Raw genomic sequence first — 25,858 nt, forward strand, 5'->3', positions numbered from 1 at the left:
GGCGGCGGCGGCGGCGGCGGCGGCGGGGCGGGGGCGGCCTGGGACGCGGCGGGAGCATGGAGCCGCGCGCCGGCTGCCGGCTGCCGGTGCGGGTGGAGCAGGTCGTCAACGGCGCGCTGGTGGTCACGGTGAGCTGCGGCGAGCGGAGCTTCGCGGGGATCCTGCTGGACTGCACGAAAAAGTGAGCGGGGGCGCGGGCCGGGACACCCCCGGGGTCCCCACGCGACACCCGCCTCCGCCGCCCGGAGACCCGGGACCCGCCTCCGGGTTGGGGGTGGCGTGGCCCCGGCGCCCGCTTTCGGTTTCTGCCGAGCCTGAGTTTCGGGGCGCGCGAGCGCGGCCGCCACTCGGGGGGGCAAAAGTGGTTCTCAAAGTCGTCGCGACTTTTCGGGGCGGGCGCCGGGCCGGGGCGGGCCGGGGCGGGGGGCGCGGGGCCGGGGTCCCGGAACTCCACACATCTGCCATAATTAATGCACTTTTCTTTGTTCAGAGCCACTGTTGAATTCGACTGTTGGCAGAATTGTCGTTAAAGCAGGGGAGGGTCAGATGCGCCGTGGCCTTGCCCTGGCAGTTCCTCACAGGTGGGGGTGCCCTGTCGAAGGCCACGGGCCCCTGGCTGCTGGGAGTGACTCCGCGGCTGAGGTTTGGATTCGGGGAGAGCAGTTGCGCCCAGCTGTGCGATTTAAGAACAGTTTCAGGCCAGGGAGCCCTGAGTCATGGGGGCGTGAAGAGGTACAAGCTGTGGGAGCCGTGGGCACATCCCCCGGGAGCCCTGGCTTCCTGGGTGGGGGGCGCAGGGCAGGGCGGGGCGGTTCCTCCTGAGAGGCACCTGTGCACGGGCTGCAGGGACCCATGCGGTGCAGATGAGCCTCCTGGACACCGCGTCACATGGCAGGGAGCTGTCGCTGCCAGATCAATGATTAGGCATGAATCAGGCTGTGGCCTCGCTGCGCTCCTGCAGGGCTTTCTTTTGAAACTGGGAGCAGGGAAAGGCTCCTCTTGTAAAGGCCCAACTTTTTCCATCCGTGGAGCCCAGATTTTTGCCTGGTGACATGAATTAGCAGAGAGGACCGTGTTCCTTCCACAATTATTTCGCAGACGTTATCTCTTCATTAGATGTGCCAGAAGCCATTTATCCACAAGTCACGTGATTTAACATATGGCTCCCGTGTGGTTCCTGCCCGCTCCGTGTGGGCTACCGCTGGGAGTGCACGGGCAGGATGGAGGGACACTCGGGGGGTGAGAATCGCCACCTGGGAGCTGCCATCCCCTCCACCATCGGCCTCAGCTTCCTCTGGCGGGCAGGGTTGGGCTTGGTCCTGGTCAGCAGGGCCGCACCCCTGCCAGACCTGCACCACCTTGCCTGGCCTTTCCTCCCTGAAGAGGGGCACGAGCGGCAGTGGGTTGCCCCATTTCCCAGGTTCCTTGACTCGGGACAAGGGAGGCTGAGAATATCTGCAGTGGCCTCGGGCTCTCCTCCCTGAGGCCCATGGCTAACCTGGTTTGCAAATCTACACCACCGCCTCCCCTTCATGGAAAAAACCAGGCCCGATGGGACCCCCGGCGTGGGAACTGGCAGCTGTAGGATGCATGGGTGTCAACCCTGCCTGCCACGTTCAGCTGTAACCAGAGCCGCCCACGGAGCCGGGCGCTGGGCCTCTGCGGGCACAGCCACTTAGCAGCCAACCTTGCTGCCTTGGGCTGGCCCCCTTGTCCTTGTGGGGAATCTGAAGGTAGAGCAGGCTCCCCGACCCCCAGTCCTGAGGCTTGTCCTGGAAGGACCCCTGCCCCCTCCCTCATCTCCCCTGTGCCTGAGTCTGTCCGGCTGTTCTCCTCTCCCCCAGCCCCAGTCCTGAGGCTTGTCCTGGAAGGACCCCCGCCCCCTCCCTCATCTCCCCTGAGCCTGAGTCTCCAGCCGGTTCTCTGCCCTTGTATTCCGAGTCCCAGGGCTCCTGTTTCCAGCCCTGCCTCGGACCGCAGGGTGCTGACCTGCCTTCCCCAGGTGCCAGTTTCTCATCAGGGCGTGGTGCCCGCCCTTATCCCCTGCATGTGACAGTGGAGGCCCAGTCCCCAAGTGTGGGTGCTGACTCACAGGGAAGAGCTGCTGGGAGCCCTATGACAGGTGTCCGCCCACCTCAGGGAACCTGTGGGTCCCAGCACAACCGGCGCTGTTGAGCGCAGGCGGCGGGCAGCCAGGCACCTGTTCAGAGCAATCCCACGGGAATGGCGGCCCCGCTCACACAGGCGCCGGGATGCAGGGCTGAGGTGGGCCCAGCAGCCAGCGTTTGTTGTCGGCCGGTTTGGGAGATGGCATTCTCTCCCTTGCTTGCAAAGCAGAGGGGAGAGGGGCTTGGCAGGTGGGTGGAATTGCCTGGCTTGTGCCACAAGGGCCATGTGATCTGAAGCAAGATTCTCTTGAGTGTCAGCCTGCGTGTACATCTGGGTGAGTTCACTGCACACCTACTGTGTGCCAGGAAGTGGGCTGAGCCCGGAGCAGGCGGCCTCCAGTGATCTTCCCCCAGTCTGGGCCAATGTGGTGGTGGTTCCTTCCAGAGCATCGATGACACAAGCCTTGTCCTGACCTGCGTTGTTTTGTGGGTGATTTGGGGACATGCTTCTGGTTGAGGATCTTGGGTGGGGTGGCCCTGGCTGAGGGGTGGCCTGAGGACAGACGAGGCTCCGAGTGCGGAAGGGCTGGCCTGCCCCACCAGAGCCTCCTGGCTCCATCTCTGAGCTGGTATTTATCGGCCTCCCCCAGTTGTGGGTTGCCTATGGTTCCAGACACAGACTGCTGGAAAGGTCAGGGGACTGTCCTCTGTGAACCACACCCTAGGCCAGACACCCTGGCCCACACTGAGAACCCCAGACACTGCCTGTCCCGGCAGAAGGGCACCCTGAGCTCTGTCCTGGGCTCACCTGTCCAGGTGGAGGCTGCACTGCTGGGGGCTGCTCTTGGGATGATTCACTCAACAACCAAGCGGGGGAGCACCTGGGCCAGGGCTGCAGTGGTGATAGGCTGTGCCCCCTGCCCTTGGGGAGTGAGAGGGACACAGGCCTAGTGCATTGAAGGCCAGGGCACCAGGAGGCCTGGCTAGCATGGCTGGTCTTCGGAGCGTCTCGAGGGGATGGCATCTGAGTGAGTGGGTAAGGAGGGTGTGGGGTGGGGGCCTGGCCTTGTGCTACTTGGGGAGCCCCACAGGGCTTAGAGAGGGACTATGCTGACGGCTCATAAACCCTTGAGTCCAGGACACAGGGGGCCGGCCGTGGCCACCTGGCCCCACCTGCTCTCCCCTGGAGATCCTGGGGCAGGTGCCCACAGGGTGAGGCAGGCTCCCCTTGTGGGGCCTTGGAGGAGGCGCTCCCCTGGTGTCTAGCCTGTGGCTTCTCCTGCCAGCCTGCTTTTCCCTAACCCCTGAGAGAGTTGGCCTGGGGAGACCCCACTGCCCCCAGCAGGCCTGACCTGCCCGCCCTTTTCCCGCATGCTGTCCTGCTGTGGGTGTCTGCAGGGCTACAGGGAGACTGCAGACGCTTTCTAGACTGACACTGGAGCATAGCCGAGGCCTTGGGTGCCAGACTCAGGCTGTCCTGCGCTGCGCTGAGGCTGCCTGTTCCTGTTCCAGGAGCCGCATTTTCTTTACCTCTTTAGGCCACAACAGGGTGTCCTTTCCTGATCAGAGAGTGAGGAAGGAAGGTCCAGGGTGAATGTGGGCCCGGGAGGCCAGGCAGGGGGCTGCCATGTGGGCATCTGCCATCTCATGGCCCTGGTCTGTAGAATGGGGAAGCCGTGGGGAGGCGCTGCCAGCGAGTGCAGGGGGCTTGGGCAGGCAGCCAGGGCTGTGCTCCTCCCGGCCATGGTCCCGGGCAGACCTCAGGCCTGGGCCTTTCTGGGAGTTTGGCTGAGCCTGACATCCAGGCGAGGCCCCAGGGCCGCCACGGCTGAGTTAAGGCTCGGCCACTTGTGTCTGGCTGAGGACCTCAGGCCTGGTCTCCAGGGCCCCCGTGTCCTTGCCAGGACACTGCTGTGCCATTGGGAGTGGCACTGGCGTACTTTTTGCTTTGGGGTCTGGTCCGTTCTGCAATTAGAGACTCCAGGGCGTCTCACCCCTGCCTCAGTTTCCCTAGCCCTTTCTCAAAGCAAAGGTTATTTGTTCTGTCCCTGAGCTCGCAAGGATGTCGCGTGAGGCTTATTTCAAGGGGCCCCTCGCATGTCCTCTTCCCCACAGGCAGGGCCCCCATGGGGCCCCCACATGTCCTTCCCTTCCCCACAGGCAAGGCCCAGCGGATGGCTCTAAAAGGGCAGCCTGGACCCAGCAGGCCCATCTAGCTCCAGGGCCACTCCATCTTCCCACCTGCCAAGGCTCGGTGTTACCTGTGGGTCACAGCCAGGCCAGTGGGGCCCCTGTCCCTAGGGGGTGGGTGTGTGGGGAACTACACTGCACCTGTGCACTTCCAGAAGGACCACTCTTCACGTCCCAGGGTCCAGGATAAGCCACTGAGGTTCTCCCTGTGCCAGCGCCGTCCCCGTGCCTGGAGACCCCCGTGGGTACCCACCCACTCAGCCTGGAGGCACGTTCCCTGGTCTCGCTCGGCCTCACTGGCCAATCTGCGAAATGGGAAGACTGTGATCTGTATCTCATGGGGTTGCTCAAGGAGGGCAGGAGCCGAGGTCCCAGCAGCCTGGGGGCTCTGCTGTTGGCTTTGCAAGATCCCTAGGGCTGGGTTCCCCTACCCGTCCCAGCCTGCGGAGTGAGCTGTTCCCACCCTGTTCTGTTCCCACCCTGTTTACCCACCAGTGCGCTGGGGTGCGGCCTGGGCAGGGCGGCAGCTCCAGGAAGGAAGTATGGCTGCCTGACGTGCCAGGGTCACCGGCCGTTTTTGTAGGGCTGGCTTGTCCAGTCCCTGGGCACTGATGCAGGTGTGACTCAGGGTCCCAAAGGGGATGGCAAAGCTCAGGCTGCCCCCCACCCATTTGATCTGCCTGGGAAGGGACTAACCCCTGGCCTGTGGCTGAAGATCCTGGGGCAAGGGATGGGGCTGGCTCCGTTTGTGGGGCCTCCTCAGGGTCCTGGCACCTTCAGCCCAGTCCACAACCCCGAGTGGTCAGGGTGCCATGTTCCCCAGCCCTAGTGGGGTTGCCCCCTCCCTCTGGCTGTCGTAGCCACCGTCCTCTGGCAGGGATGCTTCTGCTCCATGGGAGGCCTTCTCCTTGCCAACATCCCCTCATTTGCCCTCATTTGAGGCCCTTTCATTGGGTCCTATGGAGGGGTTCCTGGCTCCCCCAACAGCAAGGGGCCGTAAGCATGCTGGCCCAGAAGCTCAGGGTGCCTGCGTGCACCAGCGGGCGTGTGCACCAGCGTGAGGAGTGTGCATGCACATGGACGTGCTTCTGTGTGAGCACACGAAGTTGGTTCTCAGAATGCTCAGCCTGTATTAAATGCTCACAAGGTGCTCATGGAAGATGATGAACTGGCTGCTGATTTGGGTACGGAGGCCAGTTCTGGCTATGAGGCCAGGGGACTTGGAGACATCAGCCTGCAACCCTGGGCGGGGGTGGGGGCTGGTTTTGGGCAAAGGCTCATCTTCCACAGCTTAACTCTGGCAAACCTTTTCTGTAAGTGAAAGTCGCCGGCTTGGGTGGCCCCACTGTGGCCTGGCTCACGGACAGCGTATAAAGGAACCTGGGGGCTGTGCTGTGTGCTAGTAAAACTTTCTTCACAAACGCTGGAGCGGCCAGGTGTGGCCCGCTGGCCCCCGGGGTGCATGGGGTCTGTGCTCCTCGGTCCTGGCGCCAGCACCTGGCTGGGACTGGTGAGGGCACCGCCCGGGACTGGCCTCCCTTTCTCGCGAAAGTCTTAGCCCATCAGAGTTGAAGGCAGCCCGCTTCCCACGGCTGCTGCAGGGCTCAGTGAGACCATTTGCACAGGGGGCCCAGCCCGCACTCCAGAGATGCTCCTGCCGTTGCTAGCCCGTGGCTGCAGGCCCCACAGCGGTGCCTGGCCAGAGGAGAATGGGGCGGGTGGCGCTCACTCTGACCACCCCCACCCACCACAGAGCAGAACCCCCCGCCCCGTGTTCATCCCCTCACAGGCCCCAAGGCCACTGCTGTGCCCTCCCCGGCGAGTCGCAATGCTGTGTTGCTTTTCTGTCTCTTTCTCTCCATCTCCCTCTCTTTTTTCTCTGGTTTAGCTAGAGCGGTCTTGAAAATTGCATCTGGTTTGTTACCAGTTACGCGTGTTCCCTGTGGAAACGTGGATTCTGTGGACCCGTTTTCCATGGTCTGTGGTAACATCAGCGTTCGCAGAACTGTTTTCCTGACGCGCTCACAGCAGCTTGTTGGGCGGGATGAGGCCAACAGGGGACAGGGCTCGGGGACATTGGCTGCACTTGGGCCTCGAGAATGATGGGGCAGCCAGGTGCCCGTGCAGCGAGGTGGCCTGCACTCTAGGACGTGAGCTGCTTCTGAGGACAAATCCCCCAAAGCCACGCACAGTGCTGGGCACTAGCCGTTAAGCGCAGGCTGCCCGGCCCAGCGAGTCCCAGGATGAGAAGGCCTTTACAACTGGGATTGGTGTCCCGGCTGTGGCAGCCGCGGGGCCTTAATTGTGGCTCCCCCAGCAGTGGCTGCTCCTGCCCCCTGTGCCCCTTCCCCTGCAGCTCGTGTGGCCCAGCAGGGCAGGACCTGAGGGTGCCAGGTGGGCAGATGGGGATGAGGGCTCTCTCGGGGCCACTGAAAGCATCTGGGCCATCTCCAGAGGGCTCAGCCCCGGGCCACGCGCAGCCCCACCCCAGACACACGTCATGCACCTGGAACCCTGCTCCCGTAGGACGGCATTCTCCAGGGCTCCTGCAGGACGGCATTCTCCAGGGCTCCTGCAGGACGGCATTCTCCAGGGCTCCTGCAGGACGGCATTCTTCTGGGCTCCTGCAGGGAGCTTTCTCCAGGGGCTTGCTTTGGGGGTTGAAGCGTTGCCTGGCCCTAGGGGTTGTCTTCCCTGAGTCCCCCAGCCCCTCGGAGAGGAGGGAACGGCTGAGCCTGTGAGCAAGGAGCCTGAGTTTTGGGGTCCAGGGCCATGGGTCACAAGCAGCCAGACCCCTCCCCGGGCCAGGTCAGGCCTCCTGGGAGCATTCCTGCTGGGGTCCACATGTCCCCTGGGGCCATGGACTGAGATTCGGAGCCTCTGGGCCTGTCTCTGGCCAGGGAAGCAGCTGACCTCCCGGCCATATGCTGCTTGGCTTTGGAAGGCACATGTCTTGCCCTGCTGTGTCCAACCCAGGACATACGTAGGGAGCATGGGCATTGGTTTACCGTCCTGAAATACAGCCCTGGACTCAGGGCATGGCTCGCTGCCCAGACCTGCCGGAGCATGGGTCGGGGGCCTTGGCTCTGGGGGCTGGTGCGGGTGGCAGATGTGCCAGGGTCCCTTCTCACTGTGGTTTCTCTCTCTCCATTGCCAGGTCCGGCCTCTTTGGCCTACCCCCGTTGGCTCCGCTGCCCCAGGTCGATGAGTCCCCTGTCAACGACAGCCATGGCCGGGCTCCCGAGGAGGGGGATGCAGAGGTGATGCAGCTGGGGTCCAGCTCCCCCCCTCCTGCCCGCGGGGTTCAGCCCCCCGAGACCACCCGCCCCGAGCCACCCCCGCCCCTCGTGCCGCCGCTGCCCGCCGGAAGCCTGCCCCCGTACCCTCCCTACTTCGAAGGCGCCCCCTTCCCTCACCCGCTGTGGCTCCGGGACACGTACAAGCTGTGGGTGCCCCAGCCGCCGCCCAGGACCATCAAGCGCACGCGGCGGCGTCTGTCCCGCAACCGCGACCCGGGGCGCCTCATCCTCAGCACCATCCGCCTGCGGCCGCGCCAGGTGCTCTGTGAGAAGTGCAAGAGCACGCTGAGCCCCCCGGAGGCCAGCCCCGGACCCCCAGCCGCGCCCAGGGCCCGCAGGAGGCTGGGCAGCGGCCCGGACAGGGAGCTCCGCAAGCCGGAGGAGCCGGAGAACGGCGAGCCCACGGCTGCGGCCACCGCCAGGAGGAGCAAGAGGGAGAGGCGCGAGGAGGACAGGGCCCCGGCAGAGCAGGTCCCGCGGAGCCCGGTCATCAAGATCTCCTACAGCACGCCCCAGGGCAAGGGAGAGGTGGTCAAGATCCCCTCCCGCGTGCACGGCTCTCTGGAGCCCTTCCGTCCCCAGCAGGCCCCGCAGGACGACGGCAGCCAGGACCCCGAGGTGCTGGACAGAGAGTCCCGGGACCGGCCGTCCTGCGCGCCCTCGGCCTCCATCCCCAAGTTGAAACTGACACGGCCTGTGCCGGCCGGCGCGGACCTGCCGCCCCCTAAGATCCGCCTGAAGCCCCACCGTCTGGGGGACAGCGAGCACGAGCCCGTGTACCGGGCCGAGCTGGTGGGGGAGCTGAACGGGTACCTGCGGGACAGCTCGCCGGCGCCCTGTGCGGACGGCCCTGCCGGTGGGCTGGCGGACTTGTCTTCTGGAAGTTCGGGTGAGGACGATGACTTCAAGAGCTGTCCCCAGGGTCCACAGGGACGCGAGGGCTTGGCTTTTCTCGTCAGCTGCCCTGAGGGGAGAGCGGACTGTGCCAGTGAGTCGGCGTGCAGCAGCGACAGCCTGGACGAGGCCAGATCGTCCGGCTCGGAAGGGACGCCGGCAGACACGGGTGACCTCTCGCCTGGCCACGGCGCGTCAGCGCCCTCGGTGTCCAGAGAGGCTCGCCAAACGGTGCCGCCCCTGACGGTCAGGCTGCACACACAGAGCGTGTCGGAGTGCATCACGGAGGACGGCAGGACTGTGGCCGTGGGGGACATCGTCTGGGGTAAGATCCATGGTTTTCCTTGGTGGCCGGCGCGTGTTCTTGACATCAGTCTCGGCCAGAAGGAGGACGGAGAGCCGTCTTGGCGAGAAGCGAAGGTCTCGTGGTTTGGTTCTCCGACTACGTCGTTCTTGTCTATTTCAAAACTCTCCCCTTTCTCTGAATTTTTCAAACTGAGATTTAATCGTAAGAAGAAGGGGATGTATCGGAAAGCTATAACCGAGGCTGCAAATGCCGCAAGACACGTGGCCCCGGAAATCAGGGAGCTCTTAACCCAGTTTGAAACGTAACTGGTTCCCTGACCAGGTGAGTGTGCCAGCGGCAGCCTCCTTCCCCCCAGCGGCCCAAGCTCACACCTGTGTCCAGGCCATGCCTCTGCTCCGGGCCCTGAGGCCCAGGGAGCCGCCGCCTGTGCCCCTCAGCTGGCTTGCTTGGGGCCCCAGCCGTCTGGAAAATGGTTGCCCTCACTGGTGATGCCATCTGCGCTTCTGATTCACACAAGAGGCGCACTGCAAGGAGGCCAGCCACCGCTGGTGCTTGTTGGAAGCACACAGCGAGTTTGTGTTTGGCAGCCATTTTTCAAAGGCCGGAAGGGAGCTTCTCATGCTCTCAGTCGTTGTTTGGAGTCAGGGATGTGGTTTGACGGATCCTGGGGAGGGGAGAGCCCAGGCTGAGGCCCTGTCTTGCGTTACTCACTCAGGGAACAAACTCTCACTGCTCTTTCCAAAGATCAGAGCGGGCATCTCCCTCCTCCTGCACGCGGATAGGCCATCCCAGGACATTAAAGGAGGGAGGGCGAGGTGAGCTTCCCACCCTCAGATGAAGCCCCCACCCCAACTCCCCAGACTGGCCCAGCCCTGCCCCCTGTGACCCCCCAAATCTTCCTCCTGGGTCAGTGCGCACTCCGTCGTCAGCAGGCTGTGTGCGTGGCCAGGCGCCCGGGACCTGGGACATGGTGTGGGGGCCTGTTCCCGGGGACGGCGTCTCACTGTCGGCCTCTACTACGAGCACTTTCTAGAATCTCCAGCCAGGCCTTGTGTGGATTCTCTGTGCCTGGGGGGCACTACGCTGTGTGGAGGTGTGGGGGTGTCACCTTGTGGGGCTGGGGGCACCACCCATGCCCCTGTAATCACCACGTGGGGCATCCGGAGCCTGCCGAGGGGCTGTTTTCTGCCCTGAGCTCCTGAAGGCCACTCTCCCAGCTCCAGAGGCCTTCTCAGCACCTCCTAGATGCCCCTCTTGTCTTCCCAGCAGGAGAAGGCAGGCCAGGGAGCAGTCCTTTCTGGGTGGGGGCAGCTGGTGGCCCTCTGTGCTCTTCTTCCTGGCTCCATGGCCTAACCACCCCATGGATGCAGAGATTCCAGGGCCAGGGGCTGTACGCAGAGGGCAGGGGCAGGGCTCCGCCTAGGCCTTGGTGACGTCTGGTGACCTTGTCTTCCCTGGCCACCTGCCCAGAGGCCTTAGAGTTTCCCAGGTGACCGTCCTCGGGCCTTTGTTGGGGGCGGGGACTGGAGCGCCTGGTGCCCCTCCACTGCTGCACCCTGCGTATTGGGGTTCCGGCGGAAGCAGTGATGAGAGACCACTGTGGTTGAGCCAGGGTCCCCAGGGTCCCCAGGCTGCCTGGCTGCCCAGGCTCTGGCCTGGCCTCACCCCCTCCCTCCAGCCACCCGGCTGCATCTGCCTTGCTCTCCTGAGGCCAGGCACAAACCTGGCTGCTCCCCCCGCCCCAGGAACCAGGCCCTTTTCTGATCAGTTCTGGGGCCTTGGGGCAGGCGTGGGGCAGGTGCCTTGTTGGCGAGTGGGTGTGGGTGCCGTCTCTCAGCTTGAGTCTGGGGAGTGTCTCAAGCCAGGGCACCATCTTCTGAGGGGTAGGAGGAGGGTCAGAGGACTCCCGTCTGCTGTCCTGGGGGGCCCTCCCCGAGTTCTGGACTCAGGCATTTGCGAGGCATGACATCCCCCCACGCAGGACGTCTCCAAGTGAGGCCTGAGGCCTTGGCTGGCAGGGAGTGCCCAGCCGGGAGGGAGGACGGGAGGACACAGTCTTGCAGGCTCAGGGCCGGCTGTGTTTATCCGGAAGTGGAGGAAGAATCTCACCAGACGGGTTTGCCTGCCTCCACGGGGGGCAGTGCCTGCACACGGGGCCTGCGCCGGGACCAGCCCCCTGCTCTGGGAGTGGGGGTGCCGGATCCTTTCAGCACCAAAGCGCAGAGTGGTGTGTGCCTGGTTGGCTTTTTGGTCTTATTTCCTGAGGGCTAAAGACCAAGTGCTCAGTGTGATCAGAGCTGGTGTCTCGTGGGGCCTGGGATCTCCCGCCCTCTGTGGGGTTGGTGGTCCTTGAGGGACACGTTTGCTTTGAAGTGTCAGCAGCGCACCTCTGGTCTGCTCTTTGTAGGGGAAATGCGGGGGTACCTGCCTTTCCTGGGAAGGGGGACCCGCCACCACCATCGTGAAGGCGCCTCTCTGAGCAGAGGCTGAGTGAGGTGTGGGGCGCTGCTGGCCATGCCCGAGGGAGGGGCGGGAGGAGGAGGCTGGTGTGGGGGCTGGAGCTCGGGCAGGGAGGCCTTCCGGGGAAGGTCGTCCTCCCAGCTCCCGCCCACCGGCCACCCTGGCCTGGCCCCAGCCGCTCCTGCAGCTGCCCGAGGATGAGGACGGGGATGGCTGGGCGGTGTCAGAAGCTTCCTGAGGTTTGTGGGTGTCTGCTGCCTGAGGCACTTGTCAAGGAGCAGTCACCGCAGGCACCACGAGATCGGCTCCGTTGCAGGGACACTGAGCCCAGCATCTACCCATGAGAGACCCCTCACTCTCTCTCAGCTTGCTGCGGGGCTGGAGGCCCTGCTCAGGGGTAGGCGGATGCCCCACAGACCACAGGGTGCCAGGGCATTGGGCCTGTGGCCGGCAGTGCCAAGAGGCAGCCTGGCTGGCACAAGGGACGGGCACATCGGCCTCAGCAGGGGCCGCGCCAGGACGCATGGCTGTGACACACTTGGGCACCCCTCCGTGTGAGGTCCTGATGGAGGTGCGCCGAGGCTGGGCTGGCCTCCTGTGCAGGAATAGAGGCCGTTGGGCCTTGTCCCAGCCGGTCACCTGCTGTTGCGGTCTCAGGGAGCCAACACCTCTGAGCCTGTTTGTTCACCGCTCCCAGGGTAACAACAGGTCCCGCCTCTGAGTGAGCCGCACTCCACCCCGGTGGTCACGGCCGGCTCCAGGGCCTGTGAATGGCCTGTGGCCGCTGCCCTTGGAGGTGACCACTGTGCCCTCTCAGGCTGGCAGGAGAGGCCGTTCCCTGGGACTTCTCCTACACCCACAGGGACCCCATGGGATTAGAGCTGAGGTCCGGGGCGGGGGCAGGTGGTGGAGACCAGGCTCTGGGGTTACTGTGCCTGGGAGCAGCCTCCTGCTTCAGGTGCAGGCACCGGACATGCAGGGTCAGGGGCCCAGCAGGAGCTGCCTGGCCAGGCTTGTCCTGCAGCTGGGAATGGGGACCCAGAGAAGGCAATGCCACCCACACCCCCACCACCGCCTGGGCCCACCGAGCCTGAGAGGGGAAGGCAGCTCCTCCCCAGGGTGAGCCCCAGGGCCTCGGGCTGGGGTCCTGCCCCTGTCCAGGCTCAAGGTCCTCTCTCTGCTCCCCTGGTCTCTCCCTCACCACCCACCCACCCACCCACCCACCCACACCTCTACTGAGGGCCAAGCACTCCACTGGGCCCAGGCTAGAAGGGGGCCAAATGGGGAGGGCTGTGAATCACCAGTTCCCAAATTAGTGCATAATCACACACAGGAACTGCTGAGAAGGAAGGGAAGAGGGGCTTGAAGCAGAGCATCCAGCGAGAAACCTGGCCTGGACTGGGATCCGGGAAGGCTTCCTGGAGGAGGTGGCAGGAGCCAGGATCTGAATGGTGAGCTAATCAGGAGCTGATGGGGTGAGGGTGGGGGCAAGTGTTCTAGGCAGGAGGAGGGCAGGGCATGTTCCAGGGGTTGCGGAGGTGGTCAGGGGGCCCGGTGGGCCAAGGCACAGACTCTGGGTGCTGTTGGAGAATTACAGACAGAGGAGTGAGATGGTCTTGTTATTATTTGTCAGTTAAAAATAAAATGAAACTTTAAAAAAATCTGATAGCTTTACAAATAAAAGCAGTGACCTCCAGCTGTGAGGACAGGGAGAGTGACGGGGGACGGGGAGGCTGGGCGGTGTGCAGGTGTCGCTCCTGGAACTAGGGGAGCCACGGTCTGTGCCCCGCATCCTCAGGGGTGGCTCCAGTTCTCGGGAGGTGCCTGAGGCCTGGCTGGAGGCATCTCAGGGGAAAGCTCAGAGGCGGGTCAGGCAGAGGGCTGGGGGCAAGGATCCGTATTCATCGGGGGGGACCTGGGCCAGGACAATGCTTGGCGGGGAGCTCCACAGACTGGCTGCTTGAGGCAGAGGCTTTGGAGCAGCAGAGGCAGGTGGAGATGACAGGTGACTGGATGTGTGCACTGTGCGGGAGCAGGAAGGAGGGTGGCGGAGAGTGGGTGGCACTGGCCAGCCGTGTGGGGAGGACCTGAGGGGCTCGGGACCTTGCCCGTCCTGCACCTCAGCACCACTGCAGGGGAGGGGGGCGTGCCCAGAGGGGCGGCGGGCTGCCTGGTGTTTTGGGAGCCATGAGGGCCAATGGGGACACCTGGTCCTGGGAGCCGTGAGGGCCAACGGGGCACCTGGTCCTGGGAGCTGTGAGGGCCGACGGGGCACTTGGTCCTGCACAGGCACCTCCTGTGCTTCCCTGTCGTGGCCAGGGCAGGCCGTGCTCCACCGACGTGCGGACTGGAAGCTGGGCACCTCCCTGAAGTGGGGACTCAATGCTCTCCTGGTGTCCCGGCCTCTTGGGCAAGGGGGAGATTTCACAGCTTCCAGACAGTGCAGGCTGGAGGGGTCCAGCCTCCTGTGGCCCCAGGGGCCCAACCCTTTCCCCTCCTGCCCTGGCAGGGGACTTTTGGGGGCGTACCCAGCACAGCCTCCGTCAGCAGTTGGGAGCACGGGGTTTCTGCGCCACTGGACGGTCAGTGTTCCTGGGGTCGTCCTTGTCTTCTGTGAGTTTCCTGTAGCTGCTGTAACAAACCTCCACACACTGGGGCTCTGAGACCACAGGCGTTTATTCCCACGCCTCTGGGGGTCAGGAGCTTGAGTCAAGGCGAGCAGGGCTGTGCGCCTTCAGCTCCAGACAAGAATCCCTCTTGCCTCCACAGACCTGGGGGTCCAGGCTTCCCCCTCTCATGACCACGTCGCCCCAGGCTCTGCCTCCATGGGCTCAAGGCCGCTGCCTCTTCGAAGTACCCTGGTGGCATCTGGGGACCCGTAGATAGCGCGGGAGGGGCCGCTCATCTGGAAACCCTTTAATCACAACGCAAACACGATGTGGCAGAAGGTGCCATTCCCAGGCTCCCAGGACGAGGAGCACCCGGTCTCATTCACTCCACATCCCCAGCGGTTGTGTGGGCAGCGCGGGCACAGCCCAGGGTCCACCCGAGCCTCATGTCCGACAGAAGGGAAGGCCCCAGGAAGCAGGGGTGGAGATGGGCTTCAGCCCAGGGGCCCGTGGGGCAAGGGAGGGACCCACTGCTTCAGAAAGGTCCGCTGTGCACAGGCCATGGGGGCAGCATGGGCCGCTTCCGACCTTCAGCTTCATAATGTTGATTTCTCCTGGGAAATAAAGATAATAATCAGGAAGCTGCCCGGCACTGGAGTGCTGAGTCGGCAGGAGCCGCTGCCGGGACTTGGGAGAGTGTGGTGCTCACTGGAGTCTCCGGGCCAGAAGCAGCGACGCCGCCGTCTCCAGGCTTCGGCTTTTCTGATTGATGTTTTCCTTTTAGAACAGCGTCCTTGAGCTTCCTGCACAAAACTTGCTTTTCTCTTCCTCCAACTCTAAATAAAAACGCTCTTCTGCTTCTGAGGACGGGTTTCTCAGCTGACTTCCCTGCGTTGCTTTCAGGGAATTCAGGTCCCACGTGAAGGTTGTAATTATTTTGTTCCAGAAGGAAACAGAGGCCTGTAATTCTGAGCCTGCTGCAGGGGCTCAGGCCCCGCCCTACCTCCTGGCTCCCAGCAGCCGGGCAGCCGGTCCTTGCCGCTTCCTCCCAGCCAGCAGCTTGGGCATTGAGGCCATGTTGGTGGGGCAGGCGGGCAGGTGCTGGGGTGTTTGGAGTTGCTTCTCAGGGGGTCAGATGCCTGGGACATGGGGGACTTTCCCAGTGTGGGGGGACACTGCTGGAGGCCCCTGCTCACCCATGCCTTCAAAGCCAAGCGTTGTGCCCACCTCTGGTGAGATGCCCTAATACTATGCGGACCTGTTGCCAGACCTCCTACTTGCTTCCTGGGTCTCACCTTCAGCTCCAAATCCTTGCCCCTGACCCCACCGGGCTTCAATGCCCTGGACAGGGCATGTGCCCCATGTCAGAGGATTGGGAGTGGAGGGTGGGACTTCCTGCACTCCATGGGGCTCACTCTCTTACCAGGACCCCTTCAGGGGCCGTGGGAGCTCCTGCCCGGCAGGAGGCTGTTCTCTCCTGGAGACCCGGGGGTTGGTTGTGGGCTTGGGGTTGTTGGCCTAATCCGTTCCCGATCAAGTTCACCCAGGTTTTCACCCTGGGGCTCCGCCTACCGTTGGTGATCACTTTAAGATTTGCTCTTTCAGGAGGGATTACGAGGTGCTGGCCCTGGTCTTCATTTACTCACTGGAATTCTTGCAGAAAAGCCTCTTTCCTTACCAGCTTTCAGTGGCACTGCACCAAGACTTGCGGCCACCCCCCGCTTGCAGAGAATTCTCATGGAGGCCAGGGTAGATGTGGGGGCTGGTTCCCCAGCTCCTTCCAGCGTGGCCGAGGAGTCCCTCCTGAGCGTGTGTGTCTCGTGAAAGCGCACATGTTTGCTAACATATCTAGTTGGGTTCGATCCACACAAGTGCTATTCTTTCCATGCTCAGACGGTGCCATCTTGGGTCAGCTGGCGGAGGCCAGCGCCAGTGTCCTGTGGTGACCACAGCAGCCTGCTGGCATCTTTGCCCCCGCCGTGCCACGTCATCTGGGCTCACTGTGCGTTTTCTGGCTCAGGCCTGAGGCAGCCACGTCCCTGGGAGCTCTGCTTCCTGCTTTCTGCCCCTCGGGCCGCTGCTGTTTCTAAACCTTTGCAGTCAACACAGCTAGGATTCACTTTTGTGTCTGATGCCGGAAATCTTGACGTTTAATGTTAACATGATCAATTTTATAGATGTAAAGGTTAATATATCTATATCAACATGTAATATAGGTGTGTAAAATATTTAAAATATAACAACATAATGTCACATATTACTGAAAATAATATATGTAATACTATTCTGATGCAGTATGATAGTTTCGGAAGAAAAGGACCCTAGCACCTCCCACCAAGGAGGGTGCCCGCGGGCGTCCCGGTGGGTGGTGGCAGTGAACGCCTGAGCTCGCCCTGCCCGTCTTTTTGTCCTGGGGTCTGGCCCTTTGGGGTATGTGTCACATCCCTCTCTCTGTGGCAAAGTCATGACCTCAGAACACACTTAAGCATCTTCATTCACTTTCTATTTTTGGAGACTCCTCGTTTTTTTAAAACCCACTGTGTTAGGATTCTGTGGCACCTCCGCAGCCCTGGGTCCACTCCCGTCCTGGTCTCCCCGGCCTTCCTGTGGCCGCATCTGGGCAGGGCCCCATCGTCCTTCCGGGCTTCCAGCCTAAGCAGGCCCCACGCCGGCTTCTCCTCCCCGCCCCTCGCCTCCTTGTGATGTGCAGAGCTGTGGGACACACCCAACTCCCTGGGGGGACTCTGGCTGTCCCAGTCTTTTCTCCAACAAGCTGTGGGGAGGGTGTGAGCCACCAGCTTTCTCACCATGGAGAAGGTGTGGCCCAGGCAGGGAGGTGCTGGTGCCTTGGGGCCTCAGAGACAGTGGGGTGGGAGAGAGGTAGGTGAGCACGAGACTCCGACCCCGTGTCCCGGTGGGGGCTCTGAGGGCTCCCAGGCAGGTGGGGCCCCAAGGCCTCCAGGTTCCTGAGAACACCTCATGTCCTGGAGGCCTCAGTGACGCAGAGCAGCTGAGCTCAGCTCCATGAGCGAGGGTCATCTAGAAAGGTAGGAGAGACGTGAGGAGCGGCCAGTGCTGCTCCAGCCTTGGAGTCTGTGTCTCTGCTGCCGGGAGAGGGAAGGCTCCTGCGAAGGCCACTGCTGCTGTTCGGGACGAAGGGCCCGTCCAGGCTGTCTCCTCCCAAGGCCCGTTACACATGTTTCTAATGAGGATAGTGGCTGATGGATGTTTACCGACATTTCCAAAGGTCATGCTGTTGTTGATGGAGAAGGACTTGGATGGTTTTAATGACCTCCTGGGGCTGTGTGTTTCTTTGCAGGGAAGTGTGGTTGCCTTTGATTTGAGCCTCTTTCGAATCCTAAAATGCTGCATTAGAAGGGATGGACGAAGCAGGTTCCAGGCATGGCAGGGACCCCACTTGTGCCACAGCACCAGCTGTGGCCTCTGCGGATCCCCCAAACAGCCCTCCTCCTGACCCATCTTGCACGCAGTCCCTGGTGACTCCCTAGAAGTTTGGGAGGGACCCCAGGGGCTGGAGGATGCATAGGTGGAGCTGCTGCGATTCCGGGGTCGGCCTCTACCTCGCTGTCAGCCGTGGAGTGGGTGGCTCAGTTTGCCTTGTTACAGCTGCCTCTTCCTTCTGAGAAATGGAAGATGGTATTTGTAGGAATGCGTTTGTGTGACCGGCTCTAATCCTCGCAAACATTCCTCACAGGGACTGTTCAGCTTCCCGCACAGAATCTGCGGGGTCGGAGGAAGTCATTCCAGGACTGAGAAAGTGAAGCCTCGTGGTGTGGAGGCACTGACGCATGGCTCTGTCTAGGAGTCACTGTTGGTACCCCCGGCAGGTCTCAACTGGCGTTGGGCTGGGGACTGTGTCAGCGGGGCCTCCGAGAGCCTCCTGCTCCCCCTGGGACGTGAATGGGAGATGGTCCAAAATGCAGCTTCTCTTTAATTTGTGTTTGTGTCAATCTTACTATGTACAATTTTTACAAGTCCAGTGGTCACATGCAATATGTAATGACAAGAATTCACCTTCGTATTTCTAGACGATGTACTGCTGCTGCTGCTTGATCCTTAAGTTTTCAATTTAGACGTTAGTTAAGGGCTTTTTCTATGGAAGATGAAGAGGCTGAGATCTCTCCTGTTCACTGCCACACATCCACATCCACTCTCACACACACACCCACTCACACTCACACACATCCACTCACACACACACCCGCTCACACATTCACATCCACTCTCACACACATATCCACTCACACTCACACACATCCACACACACCCCCCCACACACATATCCACTCACACACATCCACTCACTGTCACACACGTCACTCACACTCATTTACTCACACACATCCACTCACACTCATTTACACACGCACACATGCACTCTCACACTCACATCCACTCACACACGCACTCTCACATTCACTCAAACACACCCACTCACACACATCCACTCACATCCAGACATCCACTGTCACACACACGCACTCTCACACACATTCACACAAACACACATACACACACATCCACTCACACACACCCACTCACATTTACTCACACACATCCAATCACACATCCACTCACACACCCACTCACACACACATGCACTCACACACTCACACACACATATCCACACACACATGCACTCTCACACACATCCACTCACACACACATCCACTCACACACATCCACACACACACAATGTTTGGCTAACTCAAGACTTGGTGTTTATGTTAATGATTTTAGCCCATCCATGTAGAGGATTATAGATGTTGCCGGCCCTTTCTTCTCTGTAGCATTGATCCCGGCTTGGTGCTTGGTCTTCAAATTGTTTACAGTGTTGTCACTCAGGAATGCCCAGCGTGAGGAGAAAGAATCCCCTCTTACATTCATGCTCACACACACATCCACCCTCACACTCTCACACGGCACACGCCTGCAGGTGCCCTCCAGGCCTCCCCGCGTGCCGCTGGGCTTCCTCACGGCATGGTGGTCTCAGGGCGGTTGCAGTTTCTCCCATGGCAGCCCAGGGCTTCCACGAGGGCAGCACTGGAAGTGGCAGTGGCCTCTCCGCGGGGCCGGGACAGGGGCAGGTCCCTCCAGTGACTTCTCGGCGGGGCTGCGACAGGGGCAGGTCCCTCCTGCCCTGCTGTGGTCAGGCAGGGCCCATGGGGCGCCTTTGTCCTGACAGGAGGAGTGGCGGGGCTGGCGTGGCCCCGTGCACCCTCGGCTCTGCAGGCTCCGCTGCCTTCCCCGTCCCTGTGCTCTCCACCCACCGGCTGGTGGAGAACTGGGGCTGACAGTGTCTGTCTCTCTGTTTGTTGGATTTAGGGGGCTGCTCTCTTCAGGGCCCAGGGTTGGCCCTGGGTTGCGGGGCTGACGGGATCGTCTGTCCCCGCCAGGTCTTTTTGCCTGAGGTGGCCATCCGGGGCCTGCGTGGGCTCAGGTGGGGGGCGATGGAAGCAGGGCTGACACCTGGGGCTCCGCACAGATCTGGGAAAGGGTTTTCCCCTCAGGGTCTAGCCCTCCCTTCCCACCCTGGGATCCCCATGCGTGGGGCTGTGTCCTGGTGGAGGGGGCTTGGGGCTCCTCCCCAGGCTCGGGTCTCCACGGGGCCGTCAGTGCGAGGCGAGGGTCCCCGGAGTCATGTATGGGGGTCCTTCCACACCATGAGCCCGGCACAGGCATGGTCGTCAGCCCCCACCAAGAGGCCACAAGGCTCCAGGCCCGCTGGCTTCTCCGTGGCCCTGCGTGTAGGGCCTGTGGACTGCGGGACTTCAGGGCTGTGGTCTGAGCCCCCAAGCATGGAAGACCCTGCACTCTCTCCCAGCACAGCCGGGCTGTGGGCCCTGAGGGAAGGAGGGCCGGCAGGAGCTGGGGGGCGGTGGAGGTCCCGGGTGAGCCTCAGGCCCTCCGGGGCACCCTGACCTGCTGCTCAGACCTTGAGGGGCTGGTCCCCCATACTCGACCCTGAGTTAAATCTCTGCCCCTTTTTGCTTTCCCCCAAGGTCACCGACGATGAGGGCGCACCTGCTGTCCTGGAGCTTCCGATCTCTGTTCGGGGACCCTGTGAGCCTTCTGGCCGGCTGCGTGCAGAGCCCACTGGGCACGGTGGTCGGCCTGGTGTGAGGCCCCCCGGGGACCGGCAGTGTGTCCAGGGAGGGGATGGCCCTGAGCCCAGCGGCTCCTCCCGCTGAGTGTATTTCTTCCCACCACTCAGCGCATGGCTGCCCTGGCTCACGAGGCAGTCGGGACTCGTGACTTGCTGGCTGCTGGCTGCTGCTGCCTCGCGCGCTGGGGTTCCATGGAGGAACTGGGCCTGCCGCCCCGGCCTCACCTGCTGCCCGCATGCTGGGGTCCCATGGAGGAACCAGGCCTGGCGCCCCGGCCTCGCCCAGCGGCTGGTGTGGGCAGCTGTTCCCTGCCTCGCAGTGTCCTGGAGGCAGCTGTCTCGCAGACTCAGCTTGGTCTCCCGCAGGCTTCAGAAAAACCCAATTGCACGTGTGGGATTCTTCCCCAGCCCTTGGGTGCGGGGTCTCTGTGCACTTGAGAGCTGGGGGACCCACCCACCGTCTCCCACTCCAAGTTCATCCCAGAGCGTGGGGCCCGCTGGGCACCTGGCACCTGGCCTGCAGATGCTGCTACGAGTGACCAGTGCTGTGTGGAGGAGGCCAAGGGCGGCCCCTGGGAAACCGGGCTTCAACAGTACAAGGAAAAGAAACTTGCTCTGTTTTGTAAGAGCGTGTTCCTTTTCCTCTTTTTTGTCACTTTAAAGACCAAAAAGAATAAAGAAAGAAAAGAAAAAAATTAATCTGCTCTTTCTTTGTTTAAATGTTAAAAACAAAAAGAGAGAGAAACATATGTCATAGTTGAAGTTGTGACTTGTGCGGCCACAGTTCACACTCATGCGTGTGTCCCTGTCGGGGCTGACGGGGCCTGAGTCCCCTGGGCACTGCTGGGCGGGGCCCATGTCGTACGGGTTGGGGTGACGCCGCCACCGGCTGCATCTCGCTGCCTCCAGGTGGGGGGACGCTGGTCACCGCCCTGAGCCCCAGGAGGGCTGTGGGCTGAGTCCCCATCTCCAGGCCTCCCTGCTGGCTTTCCAGTGGACGCTGGGATTTCCTGGAGAGGCAGTGCTCTGCACGCGGGGAGCTTTGTTCTTTGTTTCCTGGAGTGACTCCTCTCATCCCTTGTTTCTTGATTTGCTCATTCAGAACCAAGGGAGATCTCAGAGATGACGATGGTGGCTTTGCTTGTTCCTGGTTTTGCTAGAACATTCTGTGCTCTAAAGGCATCGCTGCCCTCAGCAAGGATCGTCTGGCGGGGGAGGGGTCGGGGGAGGGCAGCAGCATACACCTGGAGGGTCCTCTCCAGGGCACATGAGGGAACAACCCTCATGGTTTCCTATGGTTCTGGACCTGACTTGCGAGGAGGGGCATGGTTTTCAAACTGGTTTGTAGCAGCAGAGCCCTTTTCTCCAACAAAATCACCCAGAATCACTTCCTCCCGGAGGGGCTGGGCTCATCCTCCTGAAGCCCTCCAGGCCCAAGAGTCCTGGGAAGCCTTTGAAAATCCAGGGAGGGGCTCGCATGAGCCCAGGAGAGCAGAGCCAGGACTTGAGAGGAATGAGAGCAGCTCCCCTTCCCCTCCTCCCTCCCCGGCCCTGCCCACGTGGGTGCAGCAGAGTCAGGGCCCTGGCCCTTGGGGCTGGGCATCTCATCCCTCTGAGCTCCGGTGCCCAGGGGCTGCCCCTGCCTGATCTGCTGCTCGGGGTGACTCCCCCTGCCGCACACCCCACTTTGCACCCAGGACCTCCTACTGACTAGGGTTGGCTCCCCTTTACGAAGGAAGGCCTTCGTAAAGCTTGGCACTGCTTCAAGAAATGTGTGTGTCCAATGGAAGGAGCAGGCCTCACCCCTGGGACAAAATATGCGTGCAGCCCTGGGCACATTCACTCCCAGCTGCCCAGCCTGCAACTAGAGCTCAGCCACTGCAGGTGACAGCAACGGGACCCGCCTTTGAGCCTGAGGCCAGGACTGACGCCACAGCCTGCAGCTCCTCCCCAAGCCCAGCCCCAGCCCTTGCCCTTCAATCCTGAGACCCTGAGATGCATGGGTGGGGCTTTCATCCGGTGAGGAGCGGAGGCCCAGGGAGGTGGGTTCCCCAGCTGCCAGTACCCACTGGTCAGGCTGGGCTGGACCAGGTCCTGAATCCCCGCCCTTCCACCCATGGGCTCCCCAGGAAGGCTAAACTGAGGGAAGAATTCCTGCTGGGAAAGCCCTGTTCTGGGACCAGGGTTTCGTCCCTCTATTAGAGGGGGTCAGGGGGACACCTGGGAGCGGAACACCTGAGGGAGGAGCACCTGGCGGGGAGCCTTGGGGGAGGAGGCACCTGGGGGAGGAAGTCTGGAGGAGGGGTCTCCTGGTGGGGGGCCTGGAGGAGGGGTCTCCTGGGGGAGGGGCCTGGAGGAGGGGTCTCCTGGGGGAGGGGCCTGGAGGAGGGGTCTCCTGGGGGAGGGGCCTGGAGGAGGGGTCTCCTGGGGGGGGGCCTGGAGGAGGGGTCTCCTGGGGGAGGGGCCTGGAGGAGGGGTCTCCTGGGGGAGGGGCCCTTGGGGAGCCAACCCTAGTCAGTACGAGGTCCTGGGTGCAAAGTGGGTTGTGCGGCAGGGGGCTTGGGGCCTCAGCGGGGCTGCCCGGAGCTGGTCCTGGGCCTCTCTTGCTCTGGGTCTCCCCTGCTCTGGGTCCAGCCTCCCAAGCACCCCACCTGGCAAGACTTCCTCGCTCAGAACAGAGCCAACCCTGGCTGTCTTCCCAGGGTTTGTCGTGGAGAGGGCTCTGGCCCTTTAGCCTTCCAAGGAGCTTTCGGGGTTGGGGTACGTTTGTGACCCCAGTAGCCGCTGTGCTGGGGGCCCAGGGCAACTCCTCCGGGAGCAGGGAAGGCACTGCTGGCACCACCAGCCCCGCAGGGTCACCAGCATCCCGTCTCCACCAGGGCTGCTGCTGTCCCTCCTCTGCTGAGGCCAGCTGTTACCGTGTTCGACATGGACCAGGCCGTGTGGGAGGACACGGGGTGGCAGGTGCAGGGAGCACGGTCTGTTTTCTGTCACTCTCTGGTCCCAGCCTGAGCCCCAATCCCTACCTCTGAGGGTCACACTTCCAACCCACCCCAGACAGAGCTGGAAGCAGGGGCTGGCATGGGCGCTGGGGTAGACGCAGGGGTTGTCGTGGCCTGGCGTGGAAGAGCTGGGCTGGACGCAGTGGGTGGCGTGGCCTGGGGTGCTGCTCTCCAGCCTTCTTTCTCTTCTTCCTCTTCCTCTTGTTCTTCATCTTCCTCCTCTTGCTGCAGATCCTCCCCCAGGTGGCTCCATTTCTGCTGGTCCCATCTCCCGGAGGCCCTGCCCACAACCCCCTGCCCGCCATCTAGGGGGACCCTGGCGTGGTCCAGGAGAGGGAGTCAAGGCCTGTGTGGGGCTCCTGGGGCTGGAGTCCTGGTCTGCCTTCTGGGGACAGAGACTAGGTCGCCCTGGGCTCCAGCTCTGTGGCCTGGCTGTGTGGGCTGGGCCAGGGCCTCTGCGTCACCTCCTTGCCTGGGCTTCTCACAGTGCAAGCCCCGCAGCCTAGGCCCTGCTGGGTGGTGGTGGGATGGCTGGGGAGGGGCAAGAGCAGGTGAGGAGTCCTCACTGGGGGTGCATACTTTGCATTACAGCTGGGGAGGCTGAGACCCGGGGGGCCACAGCTGGTTCCTGGACTCCAAAGCCCAGGACCCTTCCAAATCCTGCCTGGACGGCACCGTGGCCAGGACCCCAGCCAGCACTTCCCTTTTCTGCGAGGGTTTTCTGTTTCTTTGATTATAAAATAACCCCTGTTGGTGGGGGGAAAAAATTAGCAAAATAAAGAAAAGCAAAAAAAAAAAAGAAAATTAGAATCTCCCGCAGTCTCACACCCTGTGGGCCTTTTGCGTATTTCTTCCCGGGTGAGTTTTCTGGGCATTAACAGATGTTTGCTCTGCAGACCTGGCCTTGTGTCACCCTGGAACTCTGTGCCCAGCTCACCCTTCCGTGGCTTCCTGTGGCCGGGGGCTCCCTCCCCTTCCTGCCCCAGGTCTGAGGTGCCAACGGCTGCCTGTGGCCAGGGGCATCTCCCCGTGGACACTGAGGGAGGAGCCGCGGCAGGGCTGGGCTCTCCCGCTGGGCTCCCTGCACCCTGCGGCCCCGGCCCCAGCCCCACCCCCAGCCATGGGAAGGGTGCACTCCGGAGAGGCCGACGCAGATGGGGCCCTGCCCCTGGCCTGAGCGTGGCCGTCATCTGCTCAGGAGGGTTAAGCTCCTTTGTGCCCCAAGGAGCTTCAAGCCGATCAATACCCGGCTGGAAGTAGGGGGCTGCAGCTGGGGGGGCCCCACCGCCCTGACCCCAGATGGACTTCCTGCTCCCTGCCCAGCTTCTCTGCGGGGGGAGGTCAGGTCAGTGGGCCTCCTGCTTGGCCTTTGGGGCCACCGCCCCTGGGCTCCAGCTGAGGCTGTCCCAGGGCCGGTCTCCCTTCCCGCCCCCACCCTACAGAGGCGGCCTCACCAGCCAGCCTCTGCCCCAGCAGAGTTATTTTTAGCCCCAGCCCCGCCTGCTGCTACCACGGGCCTTTTCTCCGCAGAGAGAGGCGGGTGAGGCCTGAGGGCCTCACCCAGGGCAGCCAGTTCCCCAACCACGAAGGGAGGCAGGAGAGCTTCCCTGTGCGGGCAGGCGTCGCTGACCCTCCAAGGGGCAGAGCAGTGGGGGCTTCCTTCCTTCCTGGGTGTGGCTGGGGGGAGGGGGCTGAAGGCCTGGAGCCGGAGGGGCTTGCCCTAGAGCCCCATAGCCAGGCAGGGGTCAGTGTCCACAGCTGGAGGGGCTGGAGAGGTGAGAGAGATGGTCCCAAGGGAGCTGGGAGGCCCAGGAGTGGGCCCAGTGCTCAACCCGCTGCCAGGCAGGGACAAGACCTGAGAGATGAGAGGGCGGCGGGGGTGACCCTCGGAGGGCAGAGGGCGCCAGGACGGAGAGATGAACGGGGCAGTGGGGTGACCCATGGAGACCCACAGAGAGCAGAGGGGCACCAGGATGGGGAGACGGAGGCCAGTGGGGGCTGAGGGGTCCCGGGGGAGGACTGTAAGGAGCCACATAGTGGCTGCGGTCGGCGTGGCTGGGAGACAGGGGTCCAGGAAGCCCACTGGAAGCTGCCGCCCCGGCTGTAGCTGCAGGGCTCTCTGTGGGAGCCGGGAGCTGGGTGCAGAGCTGCGTCGAGGCTGCCTGAGGCCTGGCAGCCCAGCAGGAGGGGACTTACCCCCACCCCCCCACGGAGGAGAAGGCTCTGGGGCCTGCTGGGTGCAGACGCAGCTGGGATCTGCTTTGGGGAAGAAAACCTAGGCAGGTCACCGAGGCTCTGCCCAAGCCAACGCCTGTCACCTGTCACCGAGGTGTGGGTGTCTGTCCTCCTCCCAGCCGTCCATCCCCCTCCCTCCTGGCCCCGCTCCAGCCCGCAGCCCCCATGGGAGCCCGAGAGAGGACAGTCTCAGCAGGTGGCACAGACAGATGCGGACTCCTCACTGCAGGTCACAAGGCATGTTTTCAGAGACCAGCTGCGGTGAAGATCATCCAGCCCTTGGGCCCCTGATCCGTTTGGATACAGTTTCAAGCATGAATTTCTCCTTTGGTGGTTTGCTACAAAGAGAAGAGTTCTCATGATTTCTTTGGGGTGTTCATCCTATGATTTTGGGGTGAGGATTCGTGACAGAGACAAGCAACAGGAGTCCAGGAAGCCCTCGGGGGAGACGGGAAACAAGTCTTTTTGAAAAAACAGCTTTCTTTGAGACGTAGCTCACATATCATATGATCCCTCCCCTTCCAGTGGACACGTCCATGGCTTTCAGCGTGTTTATAGATGGGCAACATCCCCACGGGCCCTTTTAGAACATTCGCTTCACCTCAGAAAGAAACCCCACAGCTTTTA

At 62.4% G+C, this 25,858-nt stretch overlaps 1 protein-coding gene across 6 annotated transcripts, besides 16 other annotated features; it reads left to right on the plus strand.

The window, feature by feature from the left end:
- On the plus strand, positions 30-20,689 carry PWWP2B (PWWP domain containing 2B). Of its 6 annotated transcripts, XM_011539387.3 has the most exons (4): positions 30-181; positions 7,456-8,816; positions 12,592-12,709; positions 19,891-20,689. In XM_011539387.3, exons 1-4 carry the CDS (start codon positions 57-59, stop codon positions 20,009-20,011), a joined length of 1,725 nt encoding a protein of 574 aa, XP_011537689.1. In that variant the 5' UTR covers positions 30-56; the 3' UTR covers positions 20,012-20,689. The 6 variants fall into 6 exon arrangements, with proteins under 6 accessions (XP_011537689.1, NP_612508.3, NP_001092107.1 ...); NM_138499.4 differs by lacking the exon at positions 12,592-12,709 and having other exon boundaries at positions 7,456-9,119; NM_001098637.2 differs by lacking the exon at positions 12,592-12,709.
- Positions 43-152: a silencer, noted in NCBI's record as "silent region_2959". NCBI's record gives its function as "represses an Ori minimal core promoter by ATAC-STARR-seq in GM12878 lymphoblastoid cells {active_cell/tissue: GM12878}" and the evidence as "EXISTENCE:reporter gene assay evidence [ECO:0000049][PMID:35858748]".
- Positions 163-302: a silencer, noted in NCBI's record as "silent region_2960". NCBI's record gives its function as "represses an Ori minimal core promoter by ATAC-STARR-seq in GM12878 lymphoblastoid cells {active_cell/tissue: GM12878}" and the evidence as "EXISTENCE:reporter gene assay evidence [ECO:0000049][PMID:35858748]".
- Positions 565-1,087: an enhancer, noted in NCBI's record as "H3K4me1 hESC enhancer chr10:134211239-134211761 (GRCh37/hg19 assembly coordinates)". NCBI's record gives its function as "activates a minimal SCP1, AML or CMV promoter by ChIP-STARR-seq in naive H9 embryonic stem cells {active_cell/tissue: H9 hESC(naive)}" and the evidence as "EXISTENCE:reporter gene assay evidence [ECO:0000049][PMID:30033119]".
- Positions 1,088-1,610: an enhancer, noted in NCBI's record as "H3K4me1 hESC enhancer chr10:134211762-134212284 (GRCh37/hg19 assembly coordinates)". NCBI's record gives its function as "activates a minimal SCP1, AML or CMV promoter by ChIP-STARR-seq in naive H9 embryonic stem cells {active_cell/tissue: H9 hESC(naive)}" and the evidence as "EXISTENCE:reporter gene assay evidence [ECO:0000049][PMID:30033119]".
- Positions 3,597-4,373: an enhancer, noted in NCBI's record as "H3K27ac-H3K4me1 hESC enhancer chr10:134214271-134215047 (GRCh37/hg19 assembly coordinates)". NCBI's record gives its function as "activates a minimal SCP1, AML or CMV promoter by ChIP-STARR-seq in naive H9 embryonic stem cells {active_cell/tissue: H9 hESC(naive)}" and the evidence as "EXISTENCE:reporter gene assay evidence [ECO:0000049][PMID:30033119]".
- Positions 8,059-8,686: an enhancer, noted in NCBI's record as "H3K27ac-H3K4me1 hESC enhancer chr10:134218733-134219360 (GRCh37/hg19 assembly coordinates)". NCBI's record gives its function as "activates a minimal SCP1, AML or CMV promoter by ChIP-STARR-seq in naive H9 embryonic stem cells {active_cell/tissue: H9 hESC(naive)}" and the evidence as "EXISTENCE:reporter gene assay evidence [ECO:0000049][PMID:30033119]".
- Positions 10,571-11,198: an enhancer, noted in NCBI's record as "NANOG-H3K27ac-H3K4me1 hESC enhancer chr10:134221245-134221872 (GRCh37/hg19 assembly coordinates)". NCBI's record gives its function as "activates a minimal SCP1, AML or CMV promoter by ChIP-STARR-seq in primed H9 embryonic stem cells {active_cell/tissue: H9 hESC(primed)}" and the evidence as "EXISTENCE:reporter gene assay evidence [ECO:0000049][PMID:30033119]".
- Positions 11,199-11,826: an enhancer, noted in NCBI's record as "NANOG-H3K27ac-H3K4me1 hESC enhancer chr10:134221873-134222500 (GRCh37/hg19 assembly coordinates)". NCBI's record gives its function as "activates a minimal SCP1, AML or CMV promoter by ChIP-STARR-seq in primed H9 embryonic stem cells {active_cell/tissue: H9 hESC(primed)}" and the evidence as "EXISTENCE:reporter gene assay evidence [ECO:0000049][PMID:30033119]".
- Positions 11,827-12,453: an enhancer, noted in NCBI's record as "NANOG-H3K27ac-H3K4me1 hESC enhancer chr10:134222501-134223127 (GRCh37/hg19 assembly coordinates)". NCBI's record gives its function as "activates a minimal SCP1, AML or CMV promoter by ChIP-STARR-seq in naive H9 embryonic stem cells {active_cell/tissue: H9 hESC(naive)}" and the evidence as "EXISTENCE:reporter gene assay evidence [ECO:0000049][PMID:30033119]".
- Positions 16,617-17,284: an enhancer, noted in NCBI's record as "H3K4me1 hESC enhancer chr10:134227291-134227958 (GRCh37/hg19 assembly coordinates)". NCBI's record gives its function as "activates a minimal SCP1, AML or CMV promoter by ChIP-STARR-seq in naive H9 embryonic stem cells {active_cell/tissue: H9 hESC(naive)}" and the evidence as "EXISTENCE:reporter gene assay evidence [ECO:0000049][PMID:30033119]".
- Positions 21,150-22,053: an enhancer, noted in NCBI's record as "H3K27ac-H3K4me1 hESC enhancer chr10:134231824-134232727 (GRCh37/hg19 assembly coordinates)". NCBI's record gives its function as "activates a minimal SCP1, AML or CMV promoter by ChIP-STARR-seq in primed H9 embryonic stem cells {active_cell/tissue: H9 hESC(primed)}" and the evidence as "EXISTENCE:reporter gene assay evidence [ECO:0000049][PMID:30033119]".
- Positions 22,054-22,958: an enhancer, noted in NCBI's record as "H3K27ac-H3K4me1 hESC enhancer chr10:134232728-134233632 (GRCh37/hg19 assembly coordinates)". NCBI's record gives its function as "activates a minimal SCP1, AML or CMV promoter by ChIP-STARR-seq in primed H9 embryonic stem cells {active_cell/tissue: H9 hESC(primed)}" and the evidence as "EXISTENCE:reporter gene assay evidence [ECO:0000049][PMID:30033119]".
- Positions 24,082-24,131: a silencer, noted in NCBI's record as "silent region_2961". NCBI's record gives its function as "represses an Ori minimal core promoter by ATAC-STARR-seq in GM12878 lymphoblastoid cells {active_cell/tissue: GM12878}" and the evidence as "EXISTENCE:reporter gene assay evidence [ECO:0000049][PMID:35858748]".
- Positions 24,162-24,221: a silencer, noted in NCBI's record as "silent region_2962". NCBI's record gives its function as "represses an Ori minimal core promoter by ATAC-STARR-seq in GM12878 lymphoblastoid cells {active_cell/tissue: GM12878}" and the evidence as "EXISTENCE:reporter gene assay evidence [ECO:0000049][PMID:35858748]".
- Positions 24,252-24,311: a silencer, noted in NCBI's record as "silent region_2963". NCBI's record gives its function as "represses an Ori minimal core promoter by ATAC-STARR-seq in GM12878 lymphoblastoid cells {active_cell/tissue: GM12878}" and the evidence as "EXISTENCE:reporter gene assay evidence [ECO:0000049][PMID:35858748]".
- Positions 24,769-25,672: an enhancer, noted in NCBI's record as "H3K27ac-H3K4me1 hESC enhancer chr10:134235443-134236346 (GRCh37/hg19 assembly coordinates)". NCBI's record gives its function as "activates a minimal SCP1, AML or CMV promoter by ChIP-STARR-seq in primed H9 embryonic stem cells {active_cell/tissue: H9 hESC(primed)}" and the evidence as "EXISTENCE:reporter gene assay evidence [ECO:0000049][PMID:30033119]".

Source organism: Homo sapiens, chromosome 10 (genome assembly GCF_000001405.40).
Source record: "Homo sapiens chromosome 10, GRCh38.p14 Primary Assembly".
Lineage (NCBI taxonomy): Eukaryota > Metazoa > Chordata > Mammalia > Primates > Hominidae > Homo > Homo sapiens.